General features: G+C 41.3%; 1 annotated feature.

Annotated features, from left to right (window-relative positions):
• Positions 1 to 11,205: part of a centromere (Linear centromere model derived predominantly from reads generated in PMID: 17803354. This region does not represent an actual centromere sequence, as long-range ordering of repeats and unmapped WGS contigs is not provided by the model. For details of model production, see http://arxiv.org/abs/1307.0035.) that runs on past both edges of the window.

An 11,205-nucleotide genomic window follows, 5' to 3' on the forward strand; every position in this document is an offset into this window, starting at 1 on the left:
CTGTACTTTCCTTGGGATGGAGTAGTTTCGAAACACACTTTCTGTAGAATCTGCAAGTGGATATTTGGACCTGTCTGAGGAATTCGTTGGAAACGGGATAACTTCAGCTAACTAAACAGAAGCAATCTCCGAATCTTCTTTGTGATGTTTGCATTCGAATCCCAGAATTGAACCTTCCTTTGAAAGTTCAGGTTTGAAACTCTCTTTTTGCAGTATCTACAAGTGGATATTTGGACCACTCTGTGGCCTTCGTTCGAAACGGGTATATCTTCACATAACATCTAGACAGAAGCATTCTCAGAAACTTTTCTGTGATGACTGCATTCAACTCACGGAGTTGAAGACTCCTTTTGAGAGCGCAGTTTTGAAACTCTCTTTGTGTGGAATCTGCAAGGGGACATGTAGACCTCTTTGAAGGTTTTGTTGGAAACAGAATCATCTTCACATAAAAATTACACAGAAGCATGCTCAGGATCTCCTTGGTGATGTTTGTATTCAACTTCCAGAGTTGAACTTTCTTTCGGAAAAAACAGCTATGAAACACTCTTTTTCTAGAATCTGCAAGTGGATATTTGGAGGGCTTTGAGGTTTGTGGTGGAAAAAGAAATATCTTCACATAAATAGTAGATAGAAGCATTCTCAGAAACTACTTTGTGATGATTGCATTCACCTCACAGAGTTGAACATTCCCTTTGACAGAGCACTTTGGAAACTCTCGTTGTGTAGCGTCTGCAAGTTGAGATATGGACCGCTTTGAGGCCTATGGTAGTAAAGGAAATAGCTTCATATAAAAACTAGACAGTAGCATTCTCAGAAAACTCTTTGTGACGACTGAGTTTAACTCACAGGGCTAAACATTGCCTTGGATGGAGCAGTTTCGAAACAAACTATTTGTAGAATCTGCAAGTGGATATTTGGACCTCTCTGAGGATTTCGTTGGAAACGGGAAAACTGCACCTAACTAAACAGAAGCATTCTCAGAAACTTCTTCTTGATGTTTGCATTCAACTCACAGTGTTGAACCTTTCTTTGATAGTTCAGGTTTCAAACACTCTTTTTGTAGAAACTGCAAGTGGATAATTGCACTTCTTTGAGGCCTATCCTAGTAAAGGAAATAACTTCATATAAAAACAAGACAGAAGCTTTCTCAGAAAATCCTCTGGGATGATTGAGTTGAACTCACAGAGCTGTACTTTCCTTGGGATGGAGTAGTTTCGAAACACACTTTCTGTAGAATCTGCAATGGGATATTTGGACCTGTCTGAGGAATTCGATGTAAATGGGATAATTTCAGCTAACTACACAGAAGGAATCTCAGAATCTTCTTTGTGATGTTTGCATTGAAATCCCAGAGTTGAACTTTCCTTTGAAAGTTCAGGTTTCAATCCCTGTTTTTGCAGGATCTGCAAGTGGATATTTGGACCACTCTGTGTCCTTCATTCGAAACGGGTACATCGTCACATAAAATCTAGACAGAAGCCTTCTCAGAAACTTCTCTGTGATGATTGCAATCAACTCACAGAGTTGAACCCTCCTATGGATAAAGCAGTTTTGAATCTCTCTTTTTGTGGAATCTGCAAGTGGATATATGGACCTCTTTGAAGATGCCTTTGGAAACGGGAATATCTTCACATAAAAACTAAACAGAAGCAATCTCAGAAACTTCTCTGTGATGTTTGTGTTCAACTCACAGAGTTTCACATTGCTTTTCATAGAGCAGTTCTGAAACATGCTTTTCGTAGTGTCTGCAAGTGGACATTTGGAGAGCTTTCAGGCCAGTGGTGGAAAACGAATTATCATCACATAAAAACTAGAGAGAAGCATTGTCGGAAACTTGTTTGTGATGATTGCATTCAACTCACAGAGTTGAAGGTTCCTTTTCAAACATCAGTTTCCAAACACTCTTTCTGTGGAATCTGGAAGAGGATATTTGGACCTCTTTGAAGATTTCGTTGGAAACGGGATAATCTTCACAGAAAAGCTAAACAGAAGCATTCTCAGAACCTTCTTCGTGATGTTTGCATTCAACTCACAGTGTTGAACCTTTCTTTGATAGTTCAGGTTTGAAACACTCTTTTTGTAGAAACTGCAGGTGGATAATTGTACTTCTTTGAGGCCTATCATAGTAAAGGAAATAACTTCATATAAAAACAAGACAGAAGCTTTCTCAGAAAATTCTCTGGGATGACTGAGTTGAACTCACAGAGCTGTACTTTCCTTGGGAAGGAGTAGTTTCTCAACACACTTTCTGTAGAATCTGCAAGTGGATATTTGGACCTCTCTGCTGAATTCGTTGGAAACCAGATAATTTCAGCTAACTAAACAGAAGCAATCTCAGAATCTTCTTTGTGATGTTTGCATTCAAATCCCAGAGTTGAACCTTCCTTTGAAAGTTCAGGTTTGAAACCCTCTTTTTGCAGGATCTACCAATTTATTTTGGGACCACTCTGTGGTCTTCGTTCGAAACGGGTATATCTTCACATAACATCTAGACAGAAGCATTCTCAGAAACTTTTCTGTGATGACTGCATTCCACTCACAGAGTTGTACACTCCTTTTGAGAGCGCAGTTTTGAAACTCTCTTTCTGTGGAATCTGCAAGGGGACATGTAGACCTCTTTGAAGGTTTCGTTTGGAAACGGAATCATCTTCACATAAAAATTACACAGAAGCATTCTCAGGAACTCCTTGGTGATGTTTGTATTCAACTTCCACAGTTGAACTTTACTTCGGAAAGAGCAGCTATGAAACACTCTTTTTCTAGAATCTGCAAGTGGACATTTGGAGGGCTTTGAGGTTTGTGGTGGAAAAGGAAATATCTTCACATAAATACTAGATGGAAGCATTCTCAGAAACTACTTTGTGATGATTGCATTCACCTCACAGAGTTGAACATTCCTATTGAGAGAGCAGTTTGGAAACACTCTTGTTGGAAAATCTGCAAGTGGAGATTTGGAGCACTTTGAGGCCTATGGTACTAAAGGGAATAGCTTCATATAAAAACTAGGCAGAAGCATTCTCAGAAAATACTTTGTGATGATTGAGTTTAACTCACAGAGCTGAACATTCCTTTGGATGGAGCAGGTTTGAAACACACTTTTTGTAGAATCTGCAAGTGGATATTTGGACCTCTCTGAGGATTTCGTTGGAAACGGGATAACTGCACCTAACTAAACAGAAGCATTCTCAGAAACTTCTTTGTGATGTTTGCATTCAGATCCCAGAGTTAGACCTTCCTTTGATAGTTCAGGTTTGAATCACTCTTTTTGTAGGATCTGCAAGTGGATATTTGGACCACTCTGTGGCCTTCGTTGGAAACGGGTACAACTTCACATAACATCTAGACAGAAGCCTTCTCAGAAACTTCTCTGTGGTGATTGCGTTCAACTCACAGAGTTGAACGCTCCTATGGATAAAGCAGTTTTGAATCTCTCTTTTTGTGGAATCTGCAAGTGGATATGTGGACTTCTTTGAATATTTCCGTGGAAACGGGAATATCTTTATATGAATACTAAACAGAAGCATTCTCAGAAACTTCTCTGTGATGTTTGTGTTCAACTCACAGTGTTTCACGTTGCTTTTCATAGAGCAGTTCTGAAACATTCTTTTCGCAGTGTCTACAAGTGGACATTTGGAGAGCTTTCAGGCCTGTGGTGGAAAAGAAATTATCGTCACATAAGAACTAGAGAGAAGAATTGTCAGAAATTTCTTTGTGATGATTGCATTCAACTCAAAGAGTTGAAGGTTCCTTTTCAAGCAGCCGTTTGCAAACACTCTTTCTGTGGAATGTGGAAGAGGATATTTGGACGTCTTTGAAGATTTCGTTGGAAACATGATAATCTTCCCAGAAAAGCTAAACAGAAGCATTCTCAGAAACTTATTCGTGATGTTTGCATTGAACTCATAGAGTTGAACTTTCCTTTTGAGAGAGAAGCTTTGAAACACTCTTTTTCTAGAATCTGCAAGTGGACATTTGGAGGGCTTTGAGGCCTGTGTTGGAAAAGGAAATATCTTCCCGTAAAAACTAGAGAGAAGCATTCTCAGAAACTACTTTGTGATGATTGCATTCAAGTCATGGATTTGAACATTCTCTTTGACAGAGCAGTTTGGAAACTCTCTTTTTGTAGAATCTGCAAGTGGAGATATGGACCGCTTTGAGGCCTATGGCAGTAAAGGAAATAACTTCATATAAAAACTAGACAGTAGCATTCTCACAAAACTCTTTGTGACGACTGAGTTTATCTCACAGAGCTGAACATTCCTTTGGATGGAGTAGTTTCGAAACACACTTTTTGTAGAATCTGCAAGTGGATATTTGGAACTCTGAGTATTTTTTTGGAAACGGGTTAAAATTCACAGAACTAAACAGCAGCATTCTCAGAAATTTCTTTGTGATGTTGGCCTTCAACTCACAGAGTGGAACATTCCTTTTGATAGAGTAGTTTTGAAACACTCTTTTTGTAGAATCTGCAAGTGGACATTTTGTGTGCTTTGAGGCCTGTGGTGGGAAAGGAAATGTCTTCACTTAAAATCTAGAGAGAAGCGTTCTCAGAAACTTCTTTGGGAGATTTGCTTTCAACTCACAGATATGAAACTTCCTTCAATATTTTAGATTTGAAGCAGTCTTTTTGTAGGATCTGCAACTGGACATTCGCAGCATTTTGAGGTCCGTGCAAGTAAAGGAACTATCTTCATATAAAAACTAGTCAGAAGCTTTCTCAGAACCATCTTTGTGATGTGGGTATGCAGCTCACAATGTTGTACCTTTCCTCTGATAGAGCAGTTTTGAAACTCTCTTTTTGTAGAATCTGCAAGTAGACATTAGGAGCGCTTTGAGTCCTGTGGTGTAAAAAGAAATATCTACACATTAAAAGTAGAGAGAAGCATTGTCAGAAACTTCTTCGTGATGATTGAGTTCAAGACACAGAGTTGAAGAGTCACAGTGTTTGCAGTTTGCAAACACTTTCTGTAGAATCTGCAAGTGGATATTGGGAGCTCTTTGAAGATTTCGTTGGAAATGGGATAATCGTCACTAAAAACTAAACAGAAGCATTCTCAGAAACTTCTTTGTGATGTTTTCCTTCAACTCACAGAGTTCAACATTCCTATTGATAGAGCAGTTTTGAAACACTCCTTTCTAGAATCTGCAAGTGGATTTTTGGTGTGCCTGTGATGGAAAAGGAAATATCTTCACCTAAAAACTAGAGAGAAACAGTCTCAGAAACTTCGTAGTGATGTTGACAGTCGACGCATAGAGTTGAACGCTCCCTTAACACGAGGAGTTTTGAAACACTCTTTTTGTGGAATCTGCAAGTGGATATTTGGACACCTTTGAAGATTTCGTTGGAAACGGGATTATCTTCACTTAAAAACTAAACAGAAGCAATCTCAGAAACTTCTTTGTGATGTTTGTATTCAACTCAGAGATTTTAACATTGCTTTTCGTAGAGTAGTTTTGAAACATCCTTTCCGTAGTATCTGCACGTCGAAATTTGGAGCGCTTTGAAGCCTGCGGTGGAAAAGGAAATATCTTCACATGAAAACTAGAGGGAAGCACTGTCAGAAACTTCTTCGTGATGATTGCATTCAACTCACAGAGTTGAAGATTCCTTTCAAAACAGCAGTTTGGAAACACTCTTTTTCTAGGATCTGAAAGTGGACATTTGGAGGGCTTCGAGGCCTGCGGTGGAAAACGAAATATCTTCATATAAATACTACATAAAAGCATTCTCAGAAACTACTTTGTAATGATGTCATTCAACTCAGGGAGCTGAACAATTCTTTTGATAGAGCAGTTTTGAAACCCTCTTTTTGTAGAGTCTGCAAATGTAAATATGGACCGCTTTGAATCCTTTGGTAGGAAAGGAAATAACTTCATATAAAAAAAAAGCCAGAAGCATTCTCAGAAACTTCTTTGTCATGATTGACTTCAAAACACAGAGTTGAACATTCCTTTTGATGCAGCAGTTTCAAAATACACTTTTCGTAGAATCTGCAAGTGGATATTTGGAACTCCTTGAGGATTTCTTTGGAAACGGGTTAAAATTCACAGAACAAAACAGAAGCATTCTCAGAAAGTTCTTTGTGATGTTGGCCTTCAACTCACAGAGTGGAACATTCCTTTTGATAGGGCAGTTTTGAAACACTCTTTTTCTAGTATCTGCAAGTGGACATTTGGTGTGCTTTGAGGCCTGTGTTGGGAAAGGAAATAACTTCACTTAACATCTAGAGAGAAGCATTCTCAGAAACCTCTTTTGGAGATTTGCATTCAACTCACAGAGTTAAAACTTCCTTTGATAGTTCAGATTTGAAACACTCTTTTTGTAGAATCTGCAACTGGACATTGGCAGCAATTTGAGGTCAGTGCTAGTAAAGGAACTATCTTCATATAAAAACTTGGAAGAAGCTTTCTCAGAAACTTCTTTGTGATGTGGGTATGCAACTCACAAAGTTGAACCTTTCCTTTGATAGAGCAGTTTGAAACTCTCTTTTTGTAGAATCTACAAGTAGACATTTTGAGCACTTAGAGACCTGCCATGGAAAAGAAAATATCTACACATTAAAACTAGAGAGAAGCATTGTCAGAAACTTCTTCATGATGATTGAGTTCAACTCTCAGAGTTGAAGAGTCCTTTTTAAACAGCAGTTTGGAAACACTCTTCTGTAGAATCTGCAAGTGGATATTTGGAGCTCTTTGAATATTTCATTGGAAACGGGATAATCTTCACTAAAAACAAAACAGAAGCATTGTCAGTAGCTTCTTTGAGATGTTTGCCTTCAACTCACAGAGTTCAACATTCCTTTTGATAGAGCAGTTTTGAAACACTCTTTTTCTAGAATCTGCAAGTGGACATTGGCTGTGCCTTGAGGACTCTGCTGGAAATGGAAATATCTTCACCTAAAATCTAGAGAGAAGCATTCTCAGAAACTTCGTAGTGATGTTTACAGTCGACTCATAGAGTTGAACGTTCCCTTAACAAGAGCAGTTTTGAAACACTCTTTTTGTAGAATCTGCAAGAGGATATTTGGACATCTTTGAAGATTTCTTTGGAAACGGGAATATCTTCACTTAAAAACTGAAGAGAAGCATTCTCAGAAACTTCTTTGTGATGTTTGTATTCAACTCACAGATTTTAACATTGCTTTTCATAGAGCAGTTTTGAAACATTCTTTCCGTAGAATTTGCACGTAGACATTTGGAGCACTTTGAAGCCTGCGGTGGAAAAGGAAATATCTTCACATAAAAACTAGAGGGAAGCACTGTCAGAAACTTCTTCGTGATGATTGCATTCAACCCACAGAGTTGAAGATTCATTTTGAAACAGCAGTTTGGAAACACCCTTTTTCTAGGATGTGCAAGTGGACATTTGGAGGGCTTTGAGGCCTGCGGTGGGAAATGAAATGTCTTCACATGAATACTACATAAAAGCATTCTCAGAAACTACTTTGAGATGATATCATTCAACTCAGAGAGTTGAACATTCCTTTTGATAGAGCAGGTTTGAAACCCTCTATTTGTACAGTCTGCATATGGAAATATGGACGGCTTTGAAGCCTATGCTAGTAAAGGAAATAACTTCATATAAAATACAGCTCAGAAACTTCTTTGTCATGATTGACTTCAAGACACAGAGCTGAACATTCCTTTTGATGCAGCAGTTTCGAAACACACTTTTTGTAGAATCTGTAAGTGGATATTTGGAACTCTTTGAGGATTTCATTGGAAACAGGTTAAAATTCACAGAAATAAACAGAGGCATTCTCAGAAAGTTCTTTGTGATGTTGGTCTTCAACTCACAGAATGGAACATTCCTTTTGATAGAGCAGTTTTGAAACACCCTTTTTCTAGAATCTGCAAGTGGACATTTGGTGTGCTTTGAGGCCTGTGGTGGGAAAGGAAATATCTTCACTTAAAATCTAGAGAGAAGCATTCTCAGGAACTTCTTTGGGAGATTTGCTTTCAACTCACAGAGTTGAAACTTCCTCCGATAGTTCAGATTTGAAACACTCTTTTTGTAGAATCTGCAACTGGACATTGGCAGCAATTTGAGGTCCGTGTAAGTGAAGGAAATATCTTCATATAAAACTAGGCAGAAGCTTTCTCAGAAACTTCTTTGTGATGTGGGTATGCAACTCACAAAGTTGAACCTTTCCTGTGATAGAGCAGTTTTGAAACTCTCTTTTTGTAGAATCTGCAAGTAGACATTAGGAGCGCTTTGTGTCCTGCATTGGAAAAGGAAATATCTACACATTAAAACTAGAGAGAAGCATTGTCAGAAACTTCTTCGTGATGATTGAGTTCAACTCACAGAGTTGTAGAGTGCTTTTTAAACAGCAGTTTGGAAACAATCTTTCTGTAGAATCTGCAAGTGAATATTTGGAGCTCTTTGAAGACTTCGTTGGAAACGGGATAATCTTCACTAAAAACTAAACAGAAGCATTCTCAGAAACTTCTTTGTGATATTTGACTTCAACTCACAGCATTCAACATTCCTTCTGATAGAGCAGTTTTGAAACACTCTTTTTCTAGAATCTGCAAGTGGATTGTTGGTGTGCCTGTGGTGGAAAAGGAAATATCTTCACCTAAAACCTAGAGAGAAGCATTCTCAGAAACTTCGTAGTGATGTTTACATTCGATGAATAGAGCTGTACGTTCCCTTAACAAGAGCAGTTTTGAAACACTCTTTTTGTAGAATCTGCAAGTGGATATTTGGACACCTTTGAAGATTTCGTTGGAAACTGGAATATCTTCACTTAAAAACTGAACAGAAGCATTCTCAGAAACTTCTTTGTGATGCTTGTATTCAACTCACAGATTTTAACATTGCTTTTCATAGAGCAGTTTTGAAACATTCTTTCCGTAGAATCTGCACGTAGACATTTGGAGTGGTTTGAAGCCTGCGGTGGAAAAGGAAATATCTTCACATAAAAACTAGAGAGAAGCACTGTCAGAAACTTTGTGATGATTGCATTCAACTCACAGAGTTGCAGATTCCTTTTGAAACAGCAGTTTGGAAACACTCTTTAGGTAGGATCTGCAAGGGGATATTTGGCGTTCTTTATTGCTTTTCATAGAGCAGTTTTGAAACACTCTTTTTCTAGAACATGCAAGTGGACATTTGGAGGGCTTTGAGGCCTGTGGTGGAAAAGGAAACATCTTCACATATAAACTAGAGAGAAGCATTCTCAGAAACTTCTTTGTGATGTTTGTATTCATCTCACTGATTTTAACATTGCTTTTCATAGAGCAGTTTTGAAACATTCTTTCCGTAGAATCTGCAAGCAGACATTTGGAGCGCTTTGAAGCCTGTTGTGGAAAAGGAAATATCTTCACATAAATAGTAGAGAGAAGCATTCTCAGCAACTTGTTTGTGATGAGTGCATTCAACTCACAGAGTTGAACATTCCTTTTGGTAGAGCGGTTTTGAAACACTCTTTTTCTAGAATCTGCAAGTGGACATTTGGAGGGCTTTGAGGTCTGTGGTGGAAAAGGAAATATCTTCACATATAAACTAGAAAGAAGCATTCTCAGAAACTTCTTTGTGATGAGTACATTCAACTCACAGAGTTGAACATTCCTATTGATAGAGCAGTTTTGAAACCCTCTTTTTGTAGATTCTGAAGGTAGAGATATGGACCGCTTTGAAGCCTACTGTAGTAAAGGAAATAACTTCATATTAAAGCCAGCCAGAAGCATTTTCAGAAACTTCTTTGTTTTGATTGAGTTAAACTCACAGAGCTGAACATTCCTTTTGATGGAGCAGTTTCGAAACACACTTTTTGTAGAATCTGCAAGTGGATATTTGGACCTCTTTGAGGATTTCTTCAGAAACGGGTTAAACCTCACATAACTAAACAGAAGCATTGTCAGAAACTTCTTTGTGAGGTTTGTATTCAACTCACAGAGTTGAACCTTCCTTCGAGAGTTCAGGTTTGAAAGACTCTTTTTGTAGAATGTGCAACTTTACATTAACAGCGCTTTGAGGTCCGTGCAAGTAAAGGAAATATCTTCATATTAAAGCTAGACAGGGAGAAGAGGAAAGGCAAGGGAAGGGGTTAGAGTGGTGTGTGCATGGAGGGGGTGGGGATGGGAAGGCTGATGAGGATGGACAGAGACGGTCTCTGATAAGATTTGTTTCTTTTGCCTCTCCCCTCTCCCCTCTCCCCTCTCCCTTCTCCCCTCTCCCCTCTCCCTCTCGGTCTCCCTCTCCCTCTCTTTCCATGGTCTCCCTCTGATGCCGAGCCGAAGCTGGACTGTACTGCTGCCATCTCGGCTCACTGCAACCTCCCTGCCTGACTCTCCTGCCTCAGCCTGCCCAGTGCCTGCGATTGCAGGCGCGCGCCACCACGCCTGACTGGTTTTCGTACTTTTTTGGTGGAGACGGGGTTTCGCTGTGTTGGCCAGGCTGGTCTCCAGCTCCTAACCGCGAGTGATCCGCCAGCCTCAGCCTCCCGAGGTGCCGGGATTGCAGACGGAGGCTGGTTCACTCAGTGCCCAATGGTGCCCAGGCTGGAGTGCAGTGGCGTGATCTCAGCTCGCTACAACCTCCATCTCCCAGCCGCCTGCCTTGGCCTCCCAAAGTGCCGAGATTGCAGCCTCTGCCCGGCCGCCACCCCGTCTGGGAAGTGAGAAGCGTCTCTGCCTGGCCGCCCATCGTCTGGGACGTGAGGAGCCCCTCTGCCTGGCTGCCCAGTCTGGAAAGTGAGGAGCGTCTCTGCCCGGCCGCCATCCCATCTAGGAAGTGAGGAGCGCCTCTTCCCGGCAGCTATCCCATCTGGGAAGTGAGGAGCGTCTCTGCCCGGCCGCCCATCGTCTGAGATGTGGGGAGCGCCTCTGCCCCGCCGCCCCGTCTGGGATGTGAGGAGCACCTCTGCCAGGCCGCGACCCCGTATGGGAGGTGAGGAGCGTCTCTGCCCAGCCGCCCCGTCTGAGAAGTGAGGAGCCCCTCTGCCCGGCAGCCACCCCGTCTGGGAAGTGAGGAGCGTCTCCGCCCGGCAGCCGCCCCGTCCGGGAGGGAGGTGGGGGGATCAGCCCCCCGCCCGGCCAGCCGCCCCGTCCGGGAGGTGAGGGGCGCCTCTGCCCAGCCGCCCCTACTGGGAAGTGAGGAGCCCCTCTGCCGGGCCAGCCACCCCGTCCGGGAGGGAGGTGGGGGGCTCAGCCTCCCGCCCGGCCAGCCGCCCCGTCCGGGAGGGAGGTGGGGGGGTC

The sequence above is a fragment of the Homo sapiens genome, chromosome 17, assembly GCF_000001405.40.
Source record: "Homo sapiens chromosome 17, GRCh38.p14 Primary Assembly".
Taxonomy (NCBI): domain Eukaryota; kingdom Metazoa; phylum Chordata; class Mammalia; order Primates; family Hominidae; genus Homo; species Homo sapiens.